Source organism: Homo sapiens, chromosome 6, assembly GCF_000001405.40.
Source record: "Homo sapiens chromosome 6, GRCh38.p14 Primary Assembly".
Taxonomy (NCBI): Eukaryota; Metazoa; Chordata; class Mammalia; order Primates; family Hominidae; genus Homo; species Homo sapiens.
Genome location: NC_000006.12, coordinates 34,535,780 through 34,563,015, shown reverse-complemented (window position 1 = coordinate 34,563,015; position 27,236 = coordinate 34,535,780). Strand labels below are relative to the sequence as shown.

At 57.0% G+C, this 27,236-nt stretch overlaps 1 protein-coding gene across 4 annotated transcripts, besides 6 other annotated features; it reads left to right on the top strand.

Annotated features, from left to right (window-relative positions):
* Positions 490–1,220: an enhancer, noted in NCBI's record as "H3K4me1 hESC enhancer chr6:34529573-34530303 (GRCh37/hg19 assembly coordinates)". NCBI's record gives its function as "activates a minimal SCP1, AML or CMV promoter by ChIP-STARR-seq in primed H9 embryonic stem cells {active_cell/tissue: H9 hESC(primed)}" and the evidence as "EXISTENCE:reporter gene assay evidence [ECO:0000049][PMID:30033119]".
* Positions 1,221–1,951: an enhancer, noted in NCBI's record as "H3K4me1 hESC enhancer chr6:34528842-34529572 (GRCh37/hg19 assembly coordinates)". NCBI's record gives its function as "activates a minimal SCP1, AML or CMV promoter by ChIP-STARR-seq in primed H9 embryonic stem cells {active_cell/tissue: H9 hESC(primed)}" and the evidence as "EXISTENCE:reporter gene assay evidence [ECO:0000049][PMID:30033119]".
* Positions 1,952–2,683: an enhancer, noted in NCBI's record as "H3K4me1 hESC enhancer chr6:34528110-34528841 (GRCh37/hg19 assembly coordinates)". NCBI's record gives its function as "activates a minimal SCP1, AML or CMV promoter by ChIP-STARR-seq in primed H9 embryonic stem cells {active_cell/tissue: H9 hESC(primed)}" and the evidence as "EXISTENCE:reporter gene assay evidence [ECO:0000049][PMID:30033119]".
* On the top strand, positions 6,687–25,214 carry SPDEF (SAM pointed domain containing ETS transcription factor). 4 transcript variants are annotated; one of them, NM_012391.3, is made up of 6 exons: positions 6,687–7,087; positions 18,532–18,996; positions 21,835–22,032; positions 23,454–23,501; positions 23,620–23,766; positions 24,564–25,214. In NM_012391.3, the coding sequence occupies exons 2-6, from the start codon at positions 18,561–18,563 to the stop codon at positions 24,740–24,742; spliced, it is 1,008 nt and encodes a 335-aa protein (NP_036523.1). In that variant the 5' UTR covers positions 6,687–7,087; positions 18,532–18,560; the 3' UTR covers positions 24,743–25,214. The 4 variants fall into 4 exon arrangements, with proteins under 4 accessions (NP_036523.1, NP_001239223.1, XP_011512759.1 ...); XM_005248988.6 differs by lacking the exon at positions 6,687–7,087 and adding an exon at positions 9,686–10,785; NM_001252294.2 differs by lacking the exon at positions 23,454–23,501.
* Positions 7,583–8,099: an enhancer, noted in NCBI's record as "H3K27ac-H3K4me1 hESC enhancer chr6:34522694-34523210 (GRCh37/hg19 assembly coordinates)". NCBI's record gives its function as "activates a minimal SCP1, AML or CMV promoter by ChIP-STARR-seq in naive H9 embryonic stem cells {active_cell/tissue: H9 hESC(naive)}" and the evidence as "EXISTENCE:reporter gene assay evidence [ECO:0000049][PMID:30033119]".
* Positions 11,447–12,441: an enhancer, noted in NCBI's record as "H3K4me1 hESC enhancer chr6:34518352-34519346 (GRCh37/hg19 assembly coordinates)". NCBI's record gives its function as "activates a minimal SCP1, AML or CMV promoter by ChIP-STARR-seq in naive H9 embryonic stem cells {active_cell/tissue: H9 hESC(naive)}" and the evidence as "EXISTENCE:reporter gene assay evidence [ECO:0000049][PMID:30033119]".
* Positions 25,211–25,417: a silencer, noted in NCBI's record as "fragment chr6:34505376-34505582 (GRCh37/hg19 assembly coordinates)". NCBI's record gives its function as "represses an EF-1alpha promoter that drives an FKBP-Casp9 reporter gene in an ReSE screen in K562 erythroleukemia cells {active_cell/tissue: K562}" and the evidence as "EXISTENCE:reporter gene assay evidence [ECO:0000049][PMID:32094911]".

Sequence of the window (27,236 nt, the reverse complement as noted above, 5' to 3'; positions counted from 1 at the left end):
GAAAGGCAGCGGTCAGCTCTAGGGTGTGAGCAGTGATGTGGGGCCCCTCCACCCCCCACGACGGGCCTGCCGGGCTGGGGGTGCACCTGGTGCTCTGTGGGGGGGCGGGTCAGGGAGGGGCAGCAGACACACCAGACCATAAGCAGTGGTGGCTAAGAGTGGGGCTTTGCACCAGATCCTGGCTCCTCCCCTCATTGTGCAAAGTACTAAGCTCCTCTCCCGCCCCGTGCCTCAGTTTCCTCCCTGAGGTTAAAATAGGGATGCTAACGATAGGGGTGCTACCTCAAAGGGCCGTTAAGATAATTAAATGAGCTAACTGTTCTGAAGCAACCAGCATGGCACTTGGCTCCCAGTGAGCATGGGAGAGGTGAGATGCTTGGCCAGGGGACCCGGGAAATGAGCGGCCAGGGCTTCAAGGCCCCCACAATCTAACTCCACAGTGCCTCCTCATGTCACCTCCCGCCACCCGGAATGCACACAGAGACCTGCAGAGCTCACACCCTCGCCTCCTTCGTGCCTTGCTCAAATCCCACCTCCCCAAAGGGATCTGCCCTGACCACCGTATTCAGTGCTGCTCCCACACCCCACCCACCGCTCCAGGCTTCCTAGGCCCTTCCTGTCATGCATGCATCACCCACCAGTGTACTATGCAATTTACTCATTTGCACCTTTGCTGTTGCTGGTCCTTTAGAATGTAAGCCCAATGAGGCTCTGCTGTATGCAATGACCCGTGCCTGACCCGCAGTAGCCCTCCAGCACATTCCTGTGGAGGGAATGGATTCATGCGGGCAGGCGCAGGCCACCCTGCTCCCCATCACGGGGTGGAGGTGGTAAAGAGGATGCCATCTGTGTGTCCTGTCTGTCCCCCAAGCTAGGGCTGCAGGGTTCTCAGGCTTGTTGCCTAACTCTGGCACGAGCCCTGCCTGGCTGGGTCCACATGGGAACTCTGAGGACCCCAAGGGCTGGGGCCCTGGGATAGGATGAGGCCTCTTCAGATGGCCTCCCAGTTATGAATCAGCAATGGGGGTGGGTACAGCTAGCCCTTGGCTACAGGAAGAAACGGTCCATTTGCTCAGCCCCCATCACGAGCTTGGGGTCCATTTGCTCGGCCCCCATCAGGAGCTTGGGGTCATTCTCTGAGGAGTCAGTTTGTAGAGGGGTAGGAGATGGCACTGATGGAACGAGGCCTGAAGCTCTTCCACCTTTTGTTTTTCCCTAGAATGGAGAGGGTCACTCACTGTGACAGCATCTAATAGGTGTTCATGAAACTAGTAAGCCCACAGATGGCTACCCTTGGGAGTCATCACTGCCCTCTGAGGCAAGAAGACCCTGAGCAATTGTGGCCACCAGGCCTTGAACTATCCTCAAGAGCAGGCTGTGCCCAGCCCCTGTGCCCGGCCACCCTGGCCTCAGTGCCCGTTTAGGGCCTGGCAGCACAGAGTAAGATGCTGGTCTGGGCAGAGCAACGTGTTGTGGCCCAAGTGTGCCCAAGAGGGGCCCTGGCATGCTGCAGTTGCTGGAAGTGCCTCGTAGTATGGCCCTGAGAACACAGCCACCACCCCCTGGGCTATTTCCCAGCCCCTTGTTCACCATCCAGCTGCAACATGGTGTCCTGGAGAGAGGATTCCAACAGATCCAGCCTGAATCCTTCCTCTGCCATTATCCAGGCTTGACTGGGAATGTCAGTGAGCCTCTTTTCCCTATCTGTGAGTGAGACAGGCAATGACCCCCTGTGGACTTGCTAGGATTGAATGAGATAACACATGCCATGTGGGAGCACAGATCGGGGTCTGGATTCAGATCCCAGCCCTGCTGTGTGTCCTTGGGCCTGGTCCCTAGCCTCTCTGGTCCCAAGGTCTTTGTACCACGAGATGGCTGGGTGGTTTCTGGGATCCCACCAACCAAGTGTCCTGCCCTTCCTGTCCCCTCTGGCCCTGTCCAGGTGACCAGCCTCAGGCTCTTCACGCCTCAGCAGGGGGCACCCTCCCCCAAGCTGTCCAGCCTTTTCGCAGCTGGAGCCTGGGTCTGGGGGTGGGGCCTTGTGTCAGTCGGGAACTAACTGGCAGCTGCATGTCCCTGTGGCTGGCATACATCCCAGCCTTGCCTCTGCCACCATCCCCAGTCTAGCTCATCAGAGAGCAGGACGCAGTGAGGATGGGAGCGCAGGCAGATGGAGTCAGAAAGAAAGCTAGGAAGGCAGGAATCTGACCAACAGACTGACTCAGACAGACTGCCCTTTCCAAAGCGTGTCCACTTCCGCTGCCACTTGACATTCGCTCATCACAGTGCTCCACCCACAAGGTCAGCAGGGCAAGCGTTGTTATCGCCATTCACAGAGGAGGCGAGGGAGGCCCAGAGTGCTTGAGACTCGCTCGTGATCCCGCCGCTCGTCAGTGGCAGTGCTGCACAGAAACCGAGATGTGGGCCCTGAGTTCCACCCGGTGCTCTCCACGCTTGCCTCTGGTGGGCCAGTGGCCAGAGAGGACCAATGTGGGGAGGAAGCTCAGGCCAACTGCTCCAGAAATTGGTGTGTTGGGTCTGATGCTGCCAGCTGCTCTAGAATCCCTGCCTTCAAGGAGTTAAAATCTTGGGAAGAAAGAAATAAGAAATAGTGGGGAAAGAATTAGAGAACAAAGACTTGGGACATGTGAGGTCCGCAAGGACTGGAGGGGACAGGGAAAGGCTTTCTGGAGGAGAGGGCTCTTGAAATGGGCCTCCGAAGGATGGGGGTTCTCTCCACCAAAATAGGAGGGACTCAAGTCCATTTGAACGACAGAAAAAGGGAATGGCAGCTTCATCCAGGTGTTCCCACGGCGATGTCAGGAGGGCGTCTGGCTCCTCCTCTTCTGGGCTGTCCCTATTCTCCCTGGGGGTAGCAGCTCCTGACTTAACACGTCAAGGCTTGGAAACTCTAGTGGCAAGAGATAATTTGTTATCTCAGTAGGCTGGAGAAAAGTTCCAGGACAGAGTCACACTGAGCCAACTGGGGTTGTGTACTAGACCCCAGATCTGGAAGGGGTGGACATGGAGCAGGCATCGCCCACAACAGATGGGTGGGGTCTGGATGGAGGGCAAACAGGAGGGGGCACATTTAACCTGATGAGAGCTGGCCAGAGGAGGATTAGAGAGGAGTCCAGCCCAGGGAGCTGGAGGCAGGAAGTCTAGTGGACCCAGTGACCTGTTCCAGGGACCCGGGACTTGGCCCTGAGAGGACGTGAGAGTAGCAATAGGGTTTTACTGGGCATGGGGCAGTCATGGAAATTAGGGATTTGAGTTTGAATCTGCTTCCCAGCTGTGACCTTGGGCATGACATTTTAAATGTACAAGCCTGAATTTCTTCACTTGAAAAATGGGCATATACCTGGCCCAGTGGCTCACGTTTTTGGAGGCCGAGGCAGGTGGATAGCTTGAGGTCATGAGCTCAAGACCAGCCTGGTCAACATGGCGAAACCCCGTCTCTACTAAAAATACAAAAATTAGCCGGGCGTGGTGGTGCGTGCCTGTAATCCCAGCTACTCGAGAGGCTGAGGTAAGAGAATCACTTGAACCCGGGAGGCAGAGGTGGCAGTGAGCTGAGACTGCGCCACTGCACTCCAGCCTGGGTGACAGAGCAAGACTCTGTCTTAAAAAAAAAGAAAAGAAAAGAAAAGAGAAATGGGCATAGCAACATCTACCTGTGAGTGTTGCTGTGAGGAGTAAGATGGCATTTGTCAAACACGTGGCCAGGTTGGTGGTCAGCAAGGCCCTGGAATAGGGCAACCAGGTTCATGGAACACTTTGACCAGCATTTTCTCCCTCCTCACAGTAACTCTCAGGGTTCTCTGGATTTGGGAGGTGACTGTTCAGCAGATTTCAGACACTTGCCTAAAGTCACAAAGCTGGAAAATTACAGAATCAGGACATGTACTTGATCAAATCCCAAGCTGGTGCCAAGACACCATGCCCGGTGGATCAGGGGGTCAAGAGGATGTGTGTCACCCAGAGTTCCCTTATTGGGAAAGTTGGCCTTTCCTCCCCTGAAGCCCACCAGCATTGCCTTAGATGGGCATCCAACCCACCTTGGGCACACCACTGATGTCCACCCCAAGCAGCCTCTTGGAGGCTGGGCCTGTGTGAGCCCAGCTGAGCAGATGGGGGAGCCCTCCCTTGCTCCCTCTTGGTGGACCTTTTCCAGCTTCCAGAGGCAACATTTGTTTCCCTACTCCAGGCTTAAATGGGTAGAGACCCTGTCCACAGCCAGTACAGTTTAGCTGGGCCCATCCATTCAGGAGACCCCTGTGAAATGCTCCCTTGGGCCTTGAGTGAGGCCACACCAGTAAGAATTCCCACTTAACAAAAGTGAAAAGTCCATTTCTCTCATAAAAGTCCTAAGGCAGGCAGTCTGCAGCTGGTATGGAGGTTTTACATAATCCTGAGAGACCCAGGCTCCTTCTAGCTTGCTGCCTACTCTACTATCTTGTCCTCATGGTCTAAGATGGCAGCCAGAATGCCAGCTATCACAGCTGCATTCCACCCAGCAAGATGGAGGAAGGATAAATAAGAATGGAGTTAATGGTACATGCCAGCTTACTTTTAAGAAAGATTCCTAGAAATCTTGGCACATGACACTTCTGCTTTGTCATATAGTCACATCTAGCTGCAAGGGAGGCTGGGATAGTCTTAATTCTAGGTAGCCACGTGCGCAGCTAAAAACCAGGCCTTGGCCAGGTACAGTGGCTCATGCTTGTAATTCCAGCACTTTAGGAGGCCGAGGTACAAGGATTGCTTGAGGCCAGGAGTTCGAGACCACCCTGGGCAACATAGAGAGACCCTGTCTCTACAAAAATAAATAAAATAAAAAATAAAAATCAAGCCTTGTTTACTGAGGAAAAGGGGAGAATGGACAGCTATCTTTGACACCTTATCCACTCAATAAACATTTTTTTTTTGAGCTTCGCTCTATTGCCCAGGCTAGAGTACAGTGGCACGATCTTGGCTCACTGCAACCTCTGCCTCCTGGGTTCAAGCGATTCTCCTGCTTCAGCCTCCCAAGTAGCTGGGATTACAGGTGCCTGCCACCACGCCCAGCTAATTTTTTGTATGTTTAGTAGAGACGGGGTTTCACCACGTTGCCCAGGCTGGTTTTGAACTCCTGATCTCAAGTGATCTGCCCACCTTGGCCTCCTAAAGTGTTAGGATTACAGGCGTGAGCCACCGCACCCAGCCTCAATAAACATTTATTAGATATTCCTTGTACTTACCCACATTATAGTACTTACAGTATGATTAATAGCTTAGCATCTCATGAGCATCGAACATACAGGCATACAGTAGGTGCCTGTTAAGCAGTGGTCATTAGTATTAATGCATCAGAATGCTGTGATATAAGCCAGGCTTCTGTGAGAGTGGGGAGGAGGGAGGCGTGGCCACCAGAGAAGCAGGCACAAAAACGCACTCTAGGGGAAGGAGATCCACCTGGAAACGCAGCGTGTCTTTCTTTATTGACCCTGGAGGGCTGGACCATTGGGGATTAGGAGTGGTCGAGTGTACCATTTCAGGACCTTGTGTTACCTCCCCTTCCTCCGCTCCATCCTCCCTCAACCTTCTCTGGGGAATGACTGATAACTGATCCTCAACCAAGGTGCCAGTGACGATAACAGCCAAGTACAGGGCTCCCTGGGGGTGCAAAGTGCAACCTTACGTTGGAGAATGTGGGTATTGGTGAAGGTGAGGGGCTAGTTCTAAAGGCCTTGGGATCCCCTGCAGCCCCAGAATCCTCATGCTCTCGGCAGTTACACAGTTACTCCTGAAACAAGAGAAAAATCAGCATTATCTAGAACTTTCTCCCGTCAGAATGGAGGTAGCAGGTACGTGGAGCCCTTCTGAGATGATTTGGAGAAAGGAAGGCCCAGCCTCCAGGGACAACTCTCAGCCCACCTGGCAGGACATGGAGGAAGCCAAAAGCTGGACTGTGTGGCCCCCGCAGGGCTCAAGGAGGTGGAGGGTCTGGGGCAGCAAGTGCTTGGTGGTGGGTACCTCTGTCCTGCGTGGCATCCCTGCCATCACCCTTTGGGGCTATGGGAGAGCAAGTTGCTGCTGGCTGGCCCCCGATTACGGGCCTGGGAAAGCGAGCTAGGAGTCCTTCCTCACCGCCACTGTGTGACAGGTCTGCATGAGGACCCTGTGGGGCACAGAGAACACAGTTCCCACCAGGTCGTGGTTGGCCCACAAGCCTCGGGATCCCTCCCCAGGGTTCTCTGAAGCTCTCTCCATCCCTGGCCTGAGTAGCCAGACAGCACCTCCTCCAGGAAGCCCTCACTGATTTCCCTAGTTGGTGCCCACCCTCAGTGCCCCCTCAGTCCTCCATCTGGGCATGGGTGGTTCTGGATCTCCACTGCTGCTCACTTGTCTGTCTCTGGCCCTCAGCTGATCCATCTTAGAACCCCAGCCCTGGACCCACTCGACGTATCTCTGGCGCCTTGCACGTAATATGAGCTGAGTGGCTATGCAGCAACCAATGAACGAGTGAATGAGCGAGTGAATGAATGAGTCCCCTAGCTGTCAGGGCATGGATCCCCCAGCAAGGAGGGGGAGACCTGCAAGGGTTAATCAGGAGCCTGCCTGTGGTCTGAGGTAAGCAAGGAGTGTATTTGTTCAGGTAAATAAGGAAGGATTACTTATAATGGGAAATCAGGCCCTGGCCAACTCTTCATCTCGCGGCTGTCTGACTTCCTCCCAGCACATTCCTGCACTCTGCCGTGTCCACACTGCCCCACAGACCCAGTCCTCCAAGCCTGCTGCCAGCTCCCTGCAAGCCCCTCAGGTTGGGCCTTGCCACGGTGCCAGCAGGCAGCCCTGGGCTGGGGGTAGGGGACTCCCTACAGGCACGCAGCCCTGAGACCTCAGAGGGCCACCCCTTGAGGGTGGCCAGGCCCCCAGTGGCCAACCTGAGTGCTGCCTCTGCCACCAGCCCTGCTGGCCCCTGGTTCCGCTGGCCCCCCAGATGCCTGGCTGAGACACGCCAGTGGCCTCAGCTGCCCACACCTCTTCCCGGCCCCTGAAGTTGGCACTGCAGCAGACAGCTCCCTGGGCACCAGGCAGCTAACAGGTGAGTCCAACAGGAGGTGGGGGTACCCTGGCATGGGGTCTTTCCCTGCCAGCTGGGGGGTGGGCGACTGCAGGCAGGACTTGGAGGGGGCGCACTTTGCCAGCTCAGAGCTCATCTCCCAGTCATCAGTGACCCTGTGACCTGGATCCCTTTACCCTCAGAATTCCTTGCCCCCTCCTCATGCTCCCCAGACTGCCTCTCTGGGCCAACTCTACATGCTGGGTGAGCCCCCTTGCCCGGCAAGGCCTGGGGTCCCCCACACTGAGCCCAGTCTGCCCAGCCTGAGGGGAGGCCGCCGTGCAGATGCAGAGCCCCGGCCCCTGAGACCCAGCCAGTTCTGCTTGGCTGGAGAAACACAAGCGGCTTGCTGCTGCTGCCAACCCAGCTGCTCTGCTGAGGAAAGGGTCTCCCTGGTGCCAGGCCACCAGTGGGCAGGGGCTTGCTGGAGCTTGATGGGTCAGGGCTAAGTCTAAGGCCGGGTCCAGTTCGGGACAGGGGAGACAGGTCCAGAGCCCAGTAGCTGGGCTGGGCAGGGATGGGCACAGGAACCAGGGGGCTGGGGTCACCGCTGAGCACACACTCTGAGCCCTTGGACACTGGGGGAAGCTGAGAGCCTTGGGTCCTGGTCTTGGCACACAAGGAAAGCAACAGTAGCAGTACCTCGAAGGTGCTCATTTCTAAGATTTGCCAGATTTCTGCGGTGGAGAGAGGAAGTGGGTGGTGGGATGACAGGGTGGGAAGCTGAAGGGCCTGGGCGACTGGGTGCCCCTGAGGCTGGTGGAGGTGTGTGCGTGCGTGTGTGTGCGCGGAAGTATGTGTGTGTGTGGTGTGTGCATGTGCGCGTGCGTGTTGCATGTGCATGTGTGTGTGCGTGTGTGTGCATGTTGGGGAGGGGCAGGCCAAGATCCCTCACCTCACCTATCAGCTGGGGCCGCCCAGCAGCCCACACCCAGGCCATGAGCCCCGCGTAGCCTGTGTCCTTTATGATGGCCATGGGCTTTCTCCTCCTCCTCGGCCAGGGCTGGGACTTGCCTCATTTCCTGCCGCAACCTCCCCAATAAAGCTGCATCTCCCCATCACCAGCTGCTCAGCTGAGTAACAAAGCAAACAGGCGTCCAGGCTGCCCCAGGCCCAAGCTGGTGGGCAGGGATGGGGAGGAGACGCCCCACCAGACGGGCAGGCCCAGGCCATGGTTCAGCCAGGCCAGTTGGGCTGAGCTTCCCTCCACCCACCTGCAAGAGGGGCCAGAGCCAAGGACCCCCAGCTTGGAGTCCCACCACCCCAAACTCACAGACAAATGGTGGGGGGCATTCTCGGAGCTCCCAGGCAGGTGGGGCTGTGTGGAGGAGGTGGTCTCACTGCGTAGGGGACCCACCCTCGCCTTTGAGAGGCTGACAGTGCATGTACAAGCATTTCCTCTGAGTGAGGCCCCGTGGGGGTATCCAGAGCTGAAAACTACCAGACTTGCTTATTGCACACTGTCAGTTGTAAAACACTTTGGTTTTCACAAGGACCCTCTGAATTCGATAGGGCTTCTCTGTCAACCAAGTCTGAGGGAATAGGGCTGCACTCAGTAGGTGCTCAGTCGATGCTCAGAAAGTGTGATGCTGGCAGGAAGTGCAAAAACCGGGAGAACCCACTTTTTACCACTGAGGTCGTTGTGAGTATAAAGTGAATAGCCCTGAAACCGTTAGAGCAGTTTTGTGCTAAATGACTTGTTGCAGCCTGAGTATAACCCGGGGAAGTTAATTTAGTCTGACAGGGGGACACAGACCCTCAAGGTGGAGGGCAAGAAGGAACAGGTGAGGTCCCGCCATGTGGGACCGTGGGCGGGTCACTTTTCCTCACTGTACTTGCAACACCTTGTCTGTGAAACAAGGTTAGACAAGGCTATTGCCTGTTAAAGCAGGCTTCACGGAGGAGACAGCCTGGAGCAGGACCTTGAAGGCTGTGTAGGAGTTGGATTTGCCAGCCGGTCTCCTGGGCGTTGGGGGGTGGTGGCGGGTGCGGGGGCCGGGGGGAAGTGGGTGGGGCAGGAATTCTTGGTTCTGGTTCCTCCTAGAGGGCAGGGAGGGTGGGTGAAGCCTGCAGCTGCCTGGACTGGGCTAGAGAACAGGACAGGGCCCCAGCCTCCCTCACCACCATCCTCAGCTCCCCCCAGACTCCACTCTCTCGCCCACTCCCTCTACTCCCCATCACCTTCCGCTTCTTCCTTTGCTCCCCGGCTTCCTCACCCCATTCCCTCTCTCTTTCCTCTTCTCCAGCTGATCCCCTCACCTGTGCCCAGGGCCCCCCTCATGTACACTCAACCCATCATAAATGATTTCCATTCACCCTCCATCTCAATCTCCACAACCCCTTTAAGACATACTCTTGACAGCCCATTTAACAGACAAGAAAAATGAGCCTCAGAGGGGGCTGAGTCACTGGCCCCAGCCCCAGAGCTAGAGAGCAGAGAGTCAGGGATCAAACCTTTTCTGGGACCCTCCCCTGGTCCCCACCCCCACCCCGTTCATGCCCCACCCTGTGCCCCCAGCCAAGCGAGTGGCCTGTCAGGTGGAACAACTCTTCCCAAAGCAAACTTTGCACAAGCCGAGTTGCCCTGGGCTCTTCCTGACATTTAATGCCAAGCTCCTTCTCCTGGCTAGTTTGCATGTTTTCAGCCTGGGAGGTGCCCCCTGCCAGATTCTGCTCTCCCACCTCTCAGCAGCCGGGGTTGGGGGTGGGTAGAAAGGGGCCTCCAGACTTGGGGAGGGAGAGGCTCATCCTTCCTCCCCAGCCAGGGACCTTAGTGTGACTCTGCTGGGGGTCGGATGGGACCGGGACCTCCCCAGGATTATGACGGCGCACCACCAGGATAAAGACCCCCCTCCTTCTCCCTCTAGCTCTGGCACAGGGGAGACGTGGCTGGAGGGACTGCCCAGCCCGGGGCTCCAGCGCCTGAGACTGGTTGCGGGGCAAGGCCCAGGCCTCTCTGCTCCTGGGGTAGCAAGTTGCTTTGAGGGCTGCTGGGACCTAGCTCCTCCTGCCCCACCCTACCCTCTGTGCCAGGACAAAAGGGGGATGTGTCTCTGCTGACACTTCACAGGTGGGAACCGGTCCTGATAACCCCTTAATAACCCACTCCCACCCATCTCAACCTTGTTTGAAGCAATTTCTGTTCTTAGCCTGTCAGGACAGTTCTTTCTGGACTTTTCTCATCTGTGATGTTGGAGTCCTTCACTTTGTCCTAACACCCCTCTCCAAGCCTGGAGGTGTGCTCCAGGGCCTGAGGATCAGGGCGCAGGAATGTTTTTTCCCTTCAGCCCATCAAGATTTTACAGACCAACAACCAGGTGTGTGGAGGGCCTCTGCCTTCCCTGGCCTGTGCTGGGTCTGGAGGGGCCGCAGAAACACGGCAGATGGAGACAGCAGTCACCACTGTGGACACACACCTCTCGGGAGACAGTGAAGCCTTCTCACATCGCTGTCCTGCCTGGTGACTTCAAAATCCAGACACACAGCTGTCTTTATGAGTCCCTGTTTCACTGCTGAAGAGGCTGAGGCCAAGAGGATCGGCCAAGGGGCCTCAGGCAGGAGCAGCAGAGCTCCGGTGACATCCGTGTGTTCTCATGCCCTCAACGACCCTGCTGGGCAGGGCTGTGGGGAGCAAGAGACCCAGGAAACCTCACGACCCCTGTCCTGTGGCAAGCTGGGAGGTACGGCGTATGCGGGGCTGGAGGAGGGTAGGGAAGAGGGAAGGTACTGTGGCCGGCCCTTCAAGGAGTGTACCGGCGATTTGGGGGTGAGGACGAGACTGTGCCAGAGAGGGGCAGCCATGTGACCCGGGCTGCATCATGGCAAAGCGGGGATGTGCAGGTGGTGGGGGTATGGCAGCCTTGGTGTGGCTAAGAGGCCTGACGGGGGCACTGAGAAGTGAAATGTATTTATATACACATGGGCTCAACCAGGGCTGAAGGAAGACGTGAATGGCAATTTCTGGAAAGCCCTGAAGGTTGAGCGGAATTGTAGTTGCTATGGTGGGAAACTGGGTTCTGTCCCCGCCCCGTCAGCATGACTCACTGCAAGCCCCAGGTTTGTCTGGGCTGGGGTCCCTGCTGGCTGGAGGAGGCGGGGAGGCACTGCTGCTGGGGTGGGAGCCAGGCCTGATGGGCAGCTGGTGAGGTGCAGGACAGCCTGAAGCTGGCTCTGCTTCTTCAGAAGGGTGGGCTGAGTCTTTCAGAGCCTCCAGACATCAACTCCAGGGACAGCCACACCCCTCATCCTGCCAAAAGTGTCAGCTGTAAATGGAGTATGCCTTTGCTTACAAGGGAGCCCCAGGTGTCCACCTCTGCGTCCCCACCATCCTTCTTTAAGTCCCCAAAGCCAGGCTGATGGCAAGATGAGGGTCATGGATCGTAAAATCCAGGCAGTGCCAGGGCTAACAAAGTCCTCAGAGATGACCTGGCCTACAGAGCAGGAGACTGAGGGCTGGAGGGACCAGGGACTCACCCAGGGTCTCTCCTATGGAGGGAACAGGGCAGGGTGTCACCTGCACCTCCTGAAGTGGAGGTCTTCGTTCTTTCCAGTCCACATCCCCTTTTGGAGTAAACTCAGCCACGATGGTCCACTTGGGGCTGCGGTGGGCCTCTGTACCTCCAGGCTGCGGGCACCTGTGCTACCCACACCCCACTAAGGCAACTGCTGTGGGGCTGGGTTGGCAGGTGGCCTGAGCAGAGGCAAAGGGGATGGTCAACAGGGGCAACCTTAGGAGCTAGAAGATGCCGGGTCTGCCAGCACCAGCAGAAAGGAGGGTGGAGCCGAGTCTTGAGTTCGAGTCCCTGCTCACTCACGCATGGACAGGTGCCCCGTAGCAGGTCACAGCGCCCTTGTCCGTCAAGTGGGAATAATGCTGGCTGCCCCAGCTGGGAGGGCCCGGCAAAGCAGTTTATTCAGTTTGACCTTCCTCCTGTCCCAGAAAGCGCTGGAAGTAGTGCCAGTGAGGGTGTGTGTGGACACCCAGGCTGCCCATGCAGCAGGGCACAGAGGAGGCTTCACTGATGCAATGTGTTCCTGCTGCCCGTGGGAACTGTGGGAAGAGAAAAACCACTGGGTTCCCCTGGCGCTCCACTTTGGCTTCCAGTGCCCCGTCTTCCTGCTACGTGGCCCCGCCCCCAGCTTCCACCTGCCTCCCGCCCCACAAAGCCTCACCCACTCCCCTGTACTTCCCCCAACAGACCCCAGCTCCTGGGCCCACTAGCTGGCTCCCCAAGGTGAAACTCACACAGATCAGGGCTCCTGAAGAAGTTGTTAGGGGGACAGTTGGCCTGGACAGTTTTGTGCCCAGAGGAGGTGGGGAAAGCCCGGAGATCTAGAAGAAACCCACCTCGTCTACTCATGCTGAGTCCAAGACAGCAAGATCTCTCTCACTCAGTCACCTCCCTGCTCTCTTCTTCTGCCCTTGGAGACCCTGGGGAAGCAGGTGCTTGGAGATGGCCACAATGGGGTGCTTGAGAGAGGGCAGGAGCTGCTGGCCCGAGGTGGCAGCCTGGGCCCCCTTCCTGGGCAGCGGGGTGGTCTGTCCAGCGGGCAGAAGTGGTGCTCTGGGCAGTGAATGGAGGGCCGTAAGGAAGGGGTCTGGCACTTCTCTTGGGTCCAGCTAGTTTGAAGAGCAGTTTGAAGGGTGAGGTTGCAGCAAGGTCCTCCCTGTGGAAGGGTTGGAGGAGCAGAGAAGGGGTGGGAGGAACAGCAGGGCAAGAGAGAGGCTGGGGCCCCAAGGGGATGGGGCAGGGCAGGGGTCAGGGTGTTTGGAGAAGCCAGACATGCTACTGCGGCTGGGCCTGGTCATGGCTTTGGCTGGGACTTCCTGAGGCCTGGGTAGCCCAGCTTTTCTCCAAGGTGCTGACCAGGGCAGGCCCATGTGGCCCCTGCCCACTCTGCATGGCTCCTGGCCAAGACCTGGCCTCACCTCCACAGCCCCTGACTCCAGCCCATTTAAGGGGACCCAGGGACTTGGATGGATGGAGGGAGGGGCTGACAGACAGCTCAGTAGGCCACATGGGAAAGCCAGAGGAGGTCTGTTCCCCATCAGACCTCTTCCTCCTGCAGTGAGGCCGGCTGGGGGCTGAGCAGCAGGGCCAGAGTGGCCATCTCTGTCACTCCCTCAGTGCTCTTCTCAATGGGGACTAAAGCTGGGGTCTTGGGCTCTGGGCGGGCTGGCATTGGGTCTCAGGATTGAGGTAGGGGTGAGGATACATTTACCCCACACCACCATCTCCCCAGGAGGTAGGGCCTGAGAGCCGGGACCAAGCAGGATATGGAAGACAGGCTCCAACCCGCACAGCGACCTGGGTCCTTAGCAAACGCCTCCCAGGTGACTCCATTCCCGGAAACTGTGGTTCGGGAGCTGTCAGGGAGGGCATCTTTTGCTGATGCCAGTTGGGGTGTGGGAGTGAAAACCTGGGAGGCAAAGGGTTCAAGGGGCACATTTCTAGCCCCGAGGGGTGAGAGTAGGCAGGGTAGTGGCAGGAAAAGCTGCACTAAATCTCTCCTTTTGGGTCCCTCTGCTCACTTTCCTTAATCTTCCTTCCTGGGGGAATGGAAGGCGCTGAGAGAAGGGGCCCAAGGTGGCTAATCCCCCTGGCCGCCACCCCACCATTCTGCTCCTGTCTCTGGGCCTTGGCCTCCACCAGCTGTTACCAAACTTTCTTTGTCTGGAGTGGGATCTGGGGCCTCTGGAGCAGGAGGGAGCCAGGACACGCTGAGCCTTAATCCAGACATGTGGCTTAATCCAGAAGAGATCAACTCGAGGTTTGGGAGCTGGAGGCATCGCTCAGGAGACGGCAGCCCGTGGGACTGGCAGGCCAAGGCTGCAGGAACGCTGGGTCCTGCCATCTGAGGACCCTGGACATGGCAGACACCTGGCACGTCCCAGGACCCTTGGCCTACGGAGCAGTGGCCTGAGTGTCAGGAGGCCTCTGGTCTGGCCCTGGCTGTGCTGTGTGACTGTGGGCACCTCCCTGCCACTCTTTGAGCCTGAGCTTTTCCAGTGCACATGTGTCCCCATGGGTGGACCATCACTGATGGATTTAATCCTGGGCTGAATTGCATGGCACAGATGAGGCGAGCCTAGGAAGTCGCAGGAGGGAGCTATTAGGGAGGGCTCGCTGGGGCAGGAGGGCTTTGGGATGAATTGTGATGAGAAGGAAAGGGCATCTTAGAAAATAGCCATGTTGTGCCCACAGCACAGGGGCAGGTATGAAATGCCATTCTCATTAGAGCTTGGATTTGTGGTCACTATGTCAATCCCTGGTTCTGGTCCGGACCCTGCTGCTAATAAGCACATGAATCCCTTCCCCACTCTGGGCTTCATTGTTCCCATTCTATGAAACAATCACATAATATATGGCCCCTTCCAGCTCTGATTATCTGGGCCAGGTAGGAGGTAGACTCAGAGGTAGGCACCAGCCACTGGGATGGGGCAATGGGGAGCCATGGGAGATTCTTGAGCACAGGGGTGTCTGATGAAAGGGTGCTGCAGGGATATGAACAGTGGGGTGGAATGAAGAGCCAAGAGGTGGGGACAGACTTTAGAGCATCAAGGAGCCCAGTCAGGAGGTGGGCAGATCCCCTAGGAAGATGGGACTGGCCAGAGCATGCACCTCAGAGAGAATGTGGTCCAGTGAGCAGAACCCACACCTGGCCAGGAAGAACCCTGGACAAGCTGCACAGCCTCCCTGAGCCTCACTGTCCGCATCTATAAAGCAGGGCTCTGGAGTCCACGTCACCCTGGCTGTGGGTAGGAAAGCGGGTGATGTGGGTGAAAGCCTGGGCGTGGCACTGGTGCTCACTGCCAGGGGCTCACAGTGCCGTTCTCTCTTCTTCCCTCCTGAGGCCAGCCCAGAACCTTGAGACGCCTAGTTGCAGGTTGGGCACACCAGCCCTGGCTGCCTGACCAGTAAGCCAAGCCCCCCTACTCTAGGCCTGGGCTGCCTTGGGGACGGAGCATTCCCCACCACCCCTGATCTGCAGAGAGTCGAACCTTTCCTCCAACCACACAGTTAACCATTAACTTATTTTTCATCAGGGAAGTGTTGGAGCTAGGACCGAGGCTTGGTGGGGAGTAGATTCCTTGGCATTTAGGTATAGGGCAAGGTCAAGCTGGAATGTGGGGTATAGAGGGTGAAGGAGCCCGAGCCAGGAGTCAAAAGACCTGGATTTGGGGATTTACCTCTCTGCACCTTGACTTCCCCATTAGCAAAGTAGGGATGAGAATAAGACCTGGGCCAGATGAGGTAGCTTGTGCCTATAATCCCAGCAGTTTGGGAGGCTGAAGCAGGGGGATCACTTGAGCCCAGGAGTTCGAGACCAGCCTGGGCAACATAGTGAGACCATGTCTCTACAACAGATTTTAAAAATTAGCCAGGCATGATGGCACACACCTGTAGTCCCAGCTACTTGGGAGGTTGAAACAGGAGGATCACTTGAGCCCAGGAGGTCGAGGCTGCAGTGAGCCATGATCATGCCCCTGCACTCGACAGAGCGAGACCTTATCTCAAAAAAAGAGAGAGTAAGGCCTGTGCTGCCTTTCTCCTGGCAAGGGGATGGATGTGAGGGCTTCACATGCACTCAGCAAATGTGTCAAGGATGTGTCATTATATGCCTTCCTGGCAAAAGCTGCCACCTGCCCTGCCCATTCATCCCCACCGACCCCACACAACCATGCCTGAAACACAGCAGCTGCCTCCTGTCCTACCTGTGGCTGAGGCCAAGCAAACAGGAGGGCCACAAGGGAAGCGAGTTCTGCTTCTTGGAAAAGCTTCTGTCTCCCTGGCATGGCGCCCAGGGTGTTGGCAGAGACTGTCCTAACGTGGCAGGCATGGGGGCTCTGGGGATGTGGACGGGGCAGGAGGCAGGCAGGGGGTGATGAAGGAGGGGTGGGGGGCTGCGGGGGGGGGTCCCCAGGGGTGGAGCCACCTAGCGGGTAGGGCATGGGCACCAGGCAGGGTGGGGCCCAGGGGCAGAGCGAGCTGTTGGCACTGCCTGAGTAAATAATGTGGGCCCACAGCACACACGAGTGTTTGCACAGAAGGACTTGAAATGATTCCAGGTCTGCCCTCTGTCCCCCACATCCCCAGCCCCGCCTTGGTCTCTGCCCACCCCACCCCACCCTGACCTTTCCTTCCTTGTCACTTAAAGGAGCCCTTGAATGGGAGAGTTGAAATCAAAGGGAACACCCTTCCCTCCTGCTGGCATTTTCTCCACCACAGGAAGCTGCAGGGCTGCCATGTAACACTGGGAAGGTTGGGCACTGCACAAGGAGGGTGGGCAGAGGAAGCTGAAATTCTACCTAGGCTCCATTCGTCAAGCTATGCTATCCAGGGGGAAGGGATGTCATTTTCTGAGTTGTGTGAAATTGAATGGGCTAGCTGTGGCCCTACCGAAGTGGAGGTGTCTTCCAGACTGGGTTCTTTCCCTTGTCCCACCTGCAGAAGCAAATGCCAGCTGCATACGGAGGCTGCGCGGGTCAGTCTCACAGGGTAACTGGAGATGGATCAGGGAGCCCCCTTCCCCTCCTGCTGTCCCAGTAGGGCACCATAAATGTCACTGTTAGAGAGGATTTCAGTGCTTTGATTAAAGCCTTCCCCCCAACTGGCCAGTTACCTTTAAAGCAAAGATCCTCAAATTTGAACATGCACGAGAATCACCCAGAGGCCAGTTAAACCAGACTGCGGAGTCTCCCCCAGAGCTGCTGATTCAGTGGCTGTGAACTGCCTGAGAATTCAAGTTTCTAGCAAGCTCCGAGGTGGCGCTGGTTCTGCTGGCCCAGACGGCACATTTGGAGAACCACTGCTTGAAACTATAAATAACCCTCGAGAAAGGACACAAATTAACTTGCCCTTAACAGGTTTATCTGTTCCTTTCCTCCTCCCTAACTGGTTCTCTGTATTATTAGGAGCGTATATCTGTTGGTAATCTTCTGCCTCTGGCTTGACGTATTCTTTGTGTGTGTGTGCGTGTGTTTTGTTTTTTTTTTCGAGACGGAGTTTTGCTCTTTCACCCAGGCTGGAGTGCAGTGGCACGATCTCGGCTCACTGCAGCCGCCTCCTGGGTTCAAGTGATTCTCCTCCCTCAGCCTCCCGAGTAGCTGAGACAGGAGAATCAGGCACCCACCACCTTGCCCAGCTAATTTTTGTATTTTTAGTAGGGACAGGGTTTCACCATGTTGGCCAGGCTGGTCTCGAACTCCTGGCCTCAGGTGATCTGCCCGCCTCGGCCTCCCAAAGAGCTAGGATTACAGTCACGAGCTACTGCACTGAGCCTGTCTTGATGTATTCTTAAGTCTCAGGCCCCCACATCACTGCCATCCCAGAATGTCCTGGGGTTTCAGTGCTTGCGCACCTCTCCAGTCCCCCTTCTCACCCAAACTGTGCACTCTGCTATTGGTTTCAGGGAAAAGGGCCTGGGCAAAACCAAGCCGGGGCGGCCCGTGGGGAGCAAGGCCTCTGACTGCTTGTGTTGAGGCCAGATGGTTCCCCCGGAGGGCCTTGGGGCAGCAGTGAGGAGCAGGTGGCTGAGTTGCTAAGGGTTTTAGGTGTTCCCTGGAGCCCTGCCCCATCTCACAACCACCCTGGCTCCTCCTGGAAAGCCTGGCATGTGGCACTGCCTCCGGGTGGCCGCATGCTCCTCCAGGCATCGGGGAAAGTAGAGAGCACTGGGAGCTGGAAGGGGCCCTGGGGGCAGCACCTTCTGAGGGAGGGTAAGGGGAGGTGGGTACCATGCACCCAGCCTGGGGTATTGGGAGACACACACCTGTGAGCTCTTGCTCAGTGGCCACCTTGAGAGTGTTGAGTTTACTTAGATCCCCCAGATAGCCCTGTGGGAGGGCAAGGGCTGGCCTACTCCCCGGCGTGTGGGAGGGTTTCTACCCCGCCTTGTTCCTCTCGTCTTTCCCCTGCTGGTGAAGATGATAGCCACCTTTAGGATGGTGGCCTCTGCCTGCCACTTCCACTCCTATCCTTGTCAAAGGCAGAAGAAAAACAAGCTTTGCTATATCAGGAAAGATTTGGACACTGAGGGCCCCTTGTTCCCACCTCAGTTTGCTCATCCGCCAAATGGCGCAATCATGCCTTCCATTGTGAGGGCTGAATGAGGTCAGGAACCTCAGAAGGCTGTTTTAAGCACAGTACATGTGTGGAGCTTTGCTGCTCCCAGCCAGCCTGGCTTCCTTGGGGATTGAGGGAGCGATCTATTTCTAGTCCTGCACCCACTCCCACCTCGCTGTCTTTCCCAGCCAGAAGGCCTGTCTGCCCAACCATGTCGTGGCTGCCCAATGACCCGGAAGCCCCCAACTCTGTCCCAGGCCCAGCCCACTGTCCACAGGGCCCCTCATCCCCATAACCAGCTTAGCGGCCCCCACAGGGATGGAGAAGCAGTCAAACCTGAGTCCTCTTTCATTTCCGTAGACACAGCCGCCAGCCCAAACAGCAGCGGCATGGGCAGCGCCAGCCCGGGTCTGAGCAGCGTATCCCCCAGCCACCTCCTGCTGCCCCCCGACACGGTGTCGCGGACAGGCTTGGAGAAGGCGGCAGCGGGGGCAGTGGGTCTCGAGAGACGGGACTGGAGTCCCAGTCCACCCGCCACGCCCGAGCAGGGCCTGTCCGCCTTCTACCTCTCCTACTTTGACATGCTGTACCCTGAGGACAGCAGCTGGGCAGCCAAGGCCCCTGGGGCCAGCAGTCGGGAGGAGCCACCTGAGGAGCCTGAGCAGTGCCCGGTCATTGACAGCCAAGCCCCAGCGGGCAGCCTGGACTTGGTGCCCGGCGGGCTGACCTTGGAGGAGCACTCGCTGGAGCAGGTGCAGTCCATGGTGGTGGGCGAAGTGCTCAAGGACATCGAGACGGCCTGCAAGCTGCTCAACATCACCGCAGGTGAGCCCTCTCCATGTGCCTGCTTCCGTAAGATGGGTCACAGGCAAGGCTGAGGTCGCTGGGGTGGGTCGGGGCACTGCTGGATGGACTCTGGCCACCTCTGGCCCAGCCTCGGGCAGCTTTGGGGATGCTGGCACTTCTACACACAGTCAGCTGTGAGCCTGGGCCAGGAAGGTTTCTGTCCACCTCTAGTGTCCCAACCATGCCAGCCTAGGGTCCCCACTGGTAGGTGCTGGATGATATGAATTCAAGCTCTGTGTCCCCCACCTCCTCTTGGACTTCGCTCTCCCCTCATTCACTCTGCTCCCGCCACACTGGCCTGTTTGCTGTTCCCACAACATTTGCTACGCTGCTGCTTCTTCAGCCTAGAGCGCTCTTCCCCCAAATATCTGTGTGACTCACTTCCTTCAGGTCTTGGCTCAGATGGCACCATCCGCATGAGGCCTTCCCTGACCCCTCCATTAAAATTGCTGCCCATGAGCACAGGACATGGTAAAGAAAACAAACAAAAAAATGAAAAATAAAAGAAAGAAGAAAAATTTCTGCTCACATCCCTACCTGCTGTTCTCACCTGCTTCCTCTCATAGCACTTACACTCCTCGGACGTGCCGCACCATATCTGTTGATCTCGCTCACTCTCTGTGTCCTCCACTAGAATGTACACTCCACAAAGGCAGGGATTTTCATTTGTTTTGCTCATCAATCCATCCCCAGATGCTAGGATAGCACCTTGAATATAACTGATGCTCAATAGACAGTTGTTCAATAATAAGCATTTCTTTTTTTTTTCTTTTTCTTCTTTTTTTTTTTTTTTTTTTTTTTTTGAGATGGAGTCTTGCTCTGTTGCCCAGGCTGCAGTGCAGTGGTGCAATCTCGGCTCACTCACTGCAAGCTCTGCCTCCCGGGTTCAAGCCATTCTCCTGCCTCAGCCTCCCGAGTAGCTGGGACTACAGGCGCCCGCCACCACACCCGGCTAATTTTTGTATTTTTAGTAGAGACAGGGTTTCACCGTGTTAGCCAGGATGGTCTCGATCTCCTGACCTCGTGATCTGCCTGCCTCGGCCTCCCAAAGTGCTGGGATTACTAGCGTGAGCCACCGCGCCCAGCCTCTTCTTTTTTTTTTTTTTTTTTTTGACAGGGTCTCGCTCTATCACTGAGGCTGGAGTGCAGTGGTGTGATTTCAGCTCACTGCAACCTCTGCCTCTGGGTTCAAGCGATTCTCCTGCCTCAGCCTCCTGAGAAGCTGGGATTACAGGTGTCTGCCACCACACCCTGCTAATTTTTATATTTTTAGTAGAGACGGAGTTTTCACCATGTTGGCCAGGCTGGTCTCGAACTTCTGACCTCAGGTCATCCGTCTGCCTTGGCCTCCCAAAGTGCTGGGATTACAGGCATGAGCTACCTCTCTGGGCCGAAAAGCAGTTCCTAATATGCCAAGCCTTATTCTAGGACGGGGGAATTGAGTGGTGAACACAACACAGCCCCTGTGTTCGTAGGGCTGACATGATAGTGAGTGACACAGATCACAAATAAATAGAGAAATGTGTCACTGTTCTTGTGGGACGGAAGGCCCCGATGAGGAGGGGACCTCCTAGGGCCTGGCATACATGTGTCTGTCAGCCAGACCTGGAAGGCGTGATTATGGAGCTGATGCTGTGGGTGGCGGGGCTGCTGAGTCTCTAGTCCTCTGTCCTGCTGTCGCCTCTCCAGCTTCAGGCAGTCCTGACCCATGTCCCTCATCTTCAGGCCCTGGCATTGCAGCACTGAACTCTGTGCAGCTTTCCCTGGGAAGCAGGGGTCTTCATGCATCCCTCAGGCCCGGCCCCTGCCCCCAAAGCTGCCCCGTTGACGTCCTCATTTGAAGCTGCTCCTGCCGATGCCCCAAGTTTCCCAATGCCCATGCCAGGCCGACTCCAGGAGTTCTCCCACAGACCTCCTCCCCACCCACAGGGCTAGGGAGGGGAGGGCCCTGCTCCCTCAACAATGGGAACAGAAACAAATGGCTTTGACCTCAGGGAGGAAAATGGGCTTATTAAGTGGGGGCAGCCCAGCCTGCAGGTCACCCAGCTGGGACACTGGCTGGACCATGGTGTTCACTTGGAGGCCCCATTGTGACCATGCCCACCAGCCTATCCCCCACCTATAGGCCTATGAGGCTCACCCCAGAGCAGCACCCCAGGGGGACATCTAGGACCTAGCCAAGGGCTCCCCTCCTGGCCTCTGGGGCCTGTGGCTGCCCCATGGCCACCCTGTGCCCTGCCATTTACTTATTCAACACATGTGCCTGGAGCAGCTCCTGTGCGTCTAGCCCTTTATTCCGTGGAGGACAAGGGGATGGAGTGCCCTGTGCCTCAGTTTCCTCATCTGTAAGATACAGGGGCTGGAGAGAATGGTGGGGTTCTAAGACTAATTCCCAGGTAGGTGTTTCTCTGGTTCCTTGAGGGGTTTGGGAAAGGCAAGAAGTACCTGATGGAGAAGCCCAGGTGTTTCTGGTAGAGTGTCACTGTCCCTCTAGGGCTGAGGCTCCCTCGAAAGGTCCTTTGGAGAGGCTGGAGGGATCTGGGAGGACCCAAGGCCTGGGTGAGGCGGGCAGTACAGATGCACCAGGTTACCCTGCCCTGAACCAAGTTCATTTTTTAGGGCCCTGGTTCCTTCCTCTCGCCCCACTCTCTTCTTGGGTACCCACTTCCACAGGGGCCCTCAGGGGCCTGTCTGGGGCTGACCTATCCCCATCCCCAAGAGCACATGGTCTCAGGCCACAGGTTCCCATGGGTGCCCCATCACAGCAGGGTGGTGCTCTCAGGCCACCCCTGAGCTGAGGGGATGCCTCTTGCCCAGATCCCATGGACTGGAGCCCCAGCAATGTGCAGAAGTGGCTCCTGTGGACAGAGCACCAATACCGGCTGCCCCCCATGGGCAAGGCCTTCCAGGAGCTGGCGGGCAAGGAGCTGTGCGCCATGTCGGAGGAGCAGTTCCGCCAGCGCTCGCCCCTGGGTGGGGATGTGCTGCACGCCCACCTGGACATCTGGAAGTCAGGTAGGATGTGGCATGGCTGGGAGCAGCCCCTCCCAGGCTCCAAGCCAGGGACAGGATGCTGGCTAGGAGGTTGCCCTCTGCTAGGGCAGCAGCCCCTTGGCCCCCAACTGGACTCCACTCTGAATCTCAGCCCCAGTTTCAGCTGCCTCCTGGATCCTGGTGCACTCTTCACCCCAACCCACTCCCAGCCCTGGTCAAGGCCCCAGAGCTTTGGGACAGAGCACCTGGGAGGTTAAAAGGTAGAAGTCAGACTGTGAGGATGCAGGATGTCAGAGCTGGGGACAACCGTGGATACTAGGAAGTCCTTTTTCCTTTTAAAATTTTGTTTGTTTTTCTTTGTTTTCTTTGTTTTTTTTTATTAAAGAAGTAATAAATGTGCATGTTATAAAATAGACCACAGTGAAAAGTAGTGTACCATGAACAGTTTCCCCCTCCCGCTCCCGACCCCCAGCTTCCAATCCCCTCCCTAGAGGGAACCACTGTTACAAGTTTCTTGAGTATCTTTCCAGGGAAAGTCTATGAATACTCGAGCACATTTACATATATGCAGTTCTTATTCTTTTTTTTTTTTTTGACATAAGTAGTAGCAGAGTATTACACTGCTCTGCACACCACAGTATGTCTTGGGTATTGCCCCTGTCCGTGTCCACAGTGGCCCTGTTTTAATTTTAGTTTTTGTTTTTTGAGACAGGGTCTCACTCTATTGCCCAGGCTGGAGTACAGTGGCACAGTCACAGCTCACTATAGCCTCGACTTCCCTGTTTCATTGGATCCTCCCACCCCAATCTCCTGAGTAGCTGAGTCTACAGGTGCACCACCACACCCTGCTAATTTTTGTATTTTTTGGTAGAGACGGGTTTTCACCATGTTGGCCAGGCTGGTCTCAAACTCCTGGGCTTGAGCAATCCACCCACCTCGGCCTCCTGAAGTGCTGGGACTACAGGCATGAGCCTCCACGCCCGGCCTGCCCTAAATTTCTAATGGCTGCGTGTCAGCCCCTGAGTGTCTAAATTGTCTTGATCTCAGTGGGCACCCACTGCTGCCTGCACAGGGCCAGGTGCTTTGGAGGAGGTGGTGCCTGAGTCAAGGAGTAAGAAACAGGACCAACTCATAGGACCCTGTCAGAGACCAGTGCCCCGCCCCAGCCCAGGCAAGCCCCCATGTCAGATGTCCTCATCTGAACAAGGGGTTGCATGCAAGCCCTTTACGGCCCCTCCCAGCTCTGAAATCCTGAATTTTCTTCCAGGAAGCAGCTTCTTGTAACCAGCTTGCCTCCCCAGGTTGGCAGGAGGCAGGGAGCCACAGGGGCAACCCCCAGCCACAGAGGGGCTCCTGTGGCCCCACAGTCCCACCCAAACGCCTCCCCTCCTCCACCCTCGGGGCCTCTCCTGGGTCCCCAACCCCCTCTCCTTGCCCTGCAGCGGCCTGGATGAAAGAGCGGACTTCACCTGGGGCGATTCACTACTGTGGTGAGCCAGGCAGCGGCAGGGTGGAGGCGGGGGCTCGGGTGGGGTGGAGGGGTGGCTGCCAATGAAGCCGGGACTGGCCTCCCATTCCCACTCACCGCCACCCTCCCTGGCCACCCAGCCTCGACCAGTGAGGAGAGCTGGACCGACAGCGAGGTGGACTCATCATGCTCCGGGCAGCCCATCCACCTGTGGCAGTTCCTCAAGGAGTTGCTACTCAAGCCCCACAGCTATGGCCGCTTCATTAGGTGGCTCAACAAGGAGAAGGGTGAGCAGGGTGCCCAAGGGGCGCTGCAGGGCCAGTGAGCATGGAGGTTGTGGGGGCTTCTGCCAGGCACGGTGCATGGGGGCAGGGGCGGGCAGAGGGGTGAAGCTGATCCCCACCTTTGTCCTAGATGCCAAATATGCAGCTCTCATGGGACAGCCCTGGGGTCTGTGTGCAATCTGTGTCCACATCTGTCTCCTGCTAGACTCTGTCTCACTTAGGAGTTTTAGTACTGCACAGCACCTGGAACGAGCTCCAAATCCACTCTCCCTCCACCATCTCATATTAATTAATCCTGCCAGAGAGGGCTGCACAGGCCGAACTGCCTGAGAATAGCAAAGAGGTTGTTTCAGGCTTGGGAACTACAGAGACACCTGTAATGGGGAAGGGATGCTCTTGCCAAGTGAGCCGTGGGCACTGCTGGGAGCCACACAGGACTTTGCATTAGGTCATGCAAACCCCACACAGAAGCAGGAGTTGGCAAGGGCCAGGCCTGCAGGGCCCCAGGGAACCCACTAAGGTACACAGGCTCACCTGTACCGGGAGGTTTGTGACTCCAGAGTATTCTCTGCCATTCACTGGGGCCTGTGGCACCTGCTTTGCACACGTCTCTTTAACCTCACCGCAACTACACCTTGGGAGTAGGCATTTGGGCCCCCACACCCCGCCCCACCCGAGCAGGGGGAGGCCTCTGCACGGGGTCCCTTGGTTCGCCACGAGGCTGACCTGGTGGTCTGCGTCTTTCTCCTTCTTGCCACCTCACTCATACCACTGGCTCTCTCGGGGCCCTCCTGCTCTAGGCATCTTCAAAATTGAGGACTCAGCCCAGGTGGCCCGGCTGTGGGGCATCCGCAAGAACCGTCCCGCCATGAACTACGACAAGCTGAGCCGCTCCATCCGCCAGTATTACAAGAAGGGCATCATCCGGAAGCCAGACATCTCCCAGCGCCTCGTCTACCAGTTCGTGCACCCCATCTGAGTGCCTGGCCCAGGGCCTGAAACCCGCCCTCAGGGGCCTCTCTCCTGCCTGCCCTGCCTCAGCCAGGCCCTGAGATGGGGGAAAACGGGCAGTCTGCTCTGCTGCTCTGACCTTCCAGAGCCCAAGGTCAGGGAGGGGCAACCAACTGCCCCAGGGGGATATGGGTCCTCTGGGGCCTTCGGGACCCTGGGGCAGGGGTGCTTCCTCCTCAGGCCCAGCTGCTCCCCTGGAGGACAGAGGGAGACAGGGCTGCTCCCCAACACCTGCCTCTGACCCCAGCATTTCCAGAGCAGAGCCTACAGAAGGGCAGTGACTCGACAAAGGCCACAGGCAGTCCAGGCCTCTCTCTGCTCCATCCCCCTGCCTCCCATTCTGCACCACACCTGGCATGGTGCAGGGAGACATCTGCACCCCTGAGTTGGGCAGCCAGGAGTGCCCCCGGGAATGGATAATAAAGATACTAGAGAACTGACATGTCCCCAGTGTCTGCGCAGTGAATGGCACAGCCCCGAGGTCATCAATGGTCAAATGCGGCTGTGGTCACAGGGCCTGGAGTAGTCAAGGGAGGTTTTCTGGAGGAGGTGGCTTTGGGCTGAGCCTAAAGGGCAAGGGATAATTGATTGGTAGATGCTTCTGGGAGAGAGATAGTGAGGCTTCAAAATCAAGGAGGGGCTAGAACAGCCACCTCATCTTCCCTGTCGCTGTTCGGGCTGAGAGGCAGGCGGCAAGGCCGGTGCTAAAGAGGTGCTACATGCAGGACCGGAGTGGGGAAGGCATCTTTCGCATCCTTTTGCTCTGTTGCAGAGCAGGGCTTTGCAGCTAACAGGGTGGAAGAGAGGTTGGTTGGCTCCTGTTTATGTTTCCTGAAGGCCTCAGCAGTGCTGTCTGTGAAGATGTGAGCTCCTGTGAGTGGGTGTGAGACCCCCGTGTGTGATGGGAAGAGGGTGTGCATTGGTGTCTGTGGGCATGCTGGGGGTGACCAGGACCCACCACCCACTCTCCTGGGCAAAGCAACTCATCCAGCTTCCTCCCACTTCCCTCACATTTATCACCCGGCTCAGTGTCCTTATGGTCTACTATGGGCTAGGTGCTTTGTCATTTATCTTCCCAACAAAACTATGAAGTAGGGGCTACTCCCCCATTTTGCAGATGATGAAACCGAGGCTCAGAGTGGTTAAGTGACTTGCAGATGGTCACACAGCTGATTGACAGAATAACTCATACCTGTCTCTCCCCAAGGACAGGGCTCTCTCTGCCCCTCCAGCCCTCCGGCTTTCTGACCGCTCAGCACCCTTGGTCCTCTATCACCCTTATCCTCTGAGGCCTGGCTTCCAGGAAACAGCAGGGGAGCCAGCACTATCCAGACCACCAAGGGTTAAATGCTACCCTGTACTGCTGCCTTCTGCCCTCAGCAATTTTATTGTCTTCAGAAGAAAGTTTGCTCCTGGCAGTGAGCAAATAGCACCTTGGCATCTGTCAGCTGGGATTGTACTGCAGGGAGGAGGGGGCCCTGCCCCAGGCCTGTGCCTCGCTGGGCCCCTGCTGTGTCTCACTCCCTTGTAGGAGGAGGGTGGGGGGGAGACTGGGACCCTGGCCAGAACCAGGCTCTGCTGAACTGGTTTTGTCTCCAGCCAGCCTGCCCTGCTCCCAACTGAGTCCCTGCAGACACTTGCTTGTATGTCCCCAGCTGGGCCTGGGCCTGGAAAGGCCTCAGATCTCAGGCAGGGGTTGGACAGGAGGATAGGTATGGGGAGTAGAGGCTAGGAGTACAAAGCTGGAGCAGCTCTGGAAAGGGTAGATGTGGGGGCCTGGGTGAGGCAGCTCCCTGCCCATGAACCTTGGCAGGCACACGCCCATCCAGTGACACCTTGTGAGCTGGCAGCGATCTGCAGATCTCCCTCCTCCAAACACCTCCCCAGCAGAACCCCACCTGGCTGGGTATTCTCTGACCCTTCTCCATGGGACCCCACCCTCAGGGCTCCCCATCACTAAATGGAACAGCCTGTGCAGGTAAGACAATACAACAATCTTTTGTCTTTATTTGAAGATTTCTCTGTTTGGCTAAAAGCAGGGCTTCACATAGAGGTAAGTTTGGAGGAGTAAGGAAGATGGGGTGGCAAATAGATTCAGGAGGAGTAAGGAAGATGGGGTGGCAAATAGATTCAATCTCCATCTCAACCTTTCTCCCTGCCTGGCACACCCTGAGGTTGGGGGCAAGGGGTGTCAGGGAAGGGACAGGGGTATATTTGCCCCGAGTAATGGGCTTGTGTGACGGCCCTGCCAGGCTGCCAGGGCCAGAGGACCCTCAGAGAGACATCTCACCAGACTGGGGAAGCTGAGGCCCAGGTGAGGGTGGGAACACAGTGAGCTGACAGCGGAACTGGGACCGGCCCTGGGACTTCTGCGATACCCCGGAAGAGATCCCCTGGGGCTGGATGCAGGGGGAGTCAGGGAGCTAGAGCAAGGGCTGGGCTTGGGGCTGGCAGAACAGCCA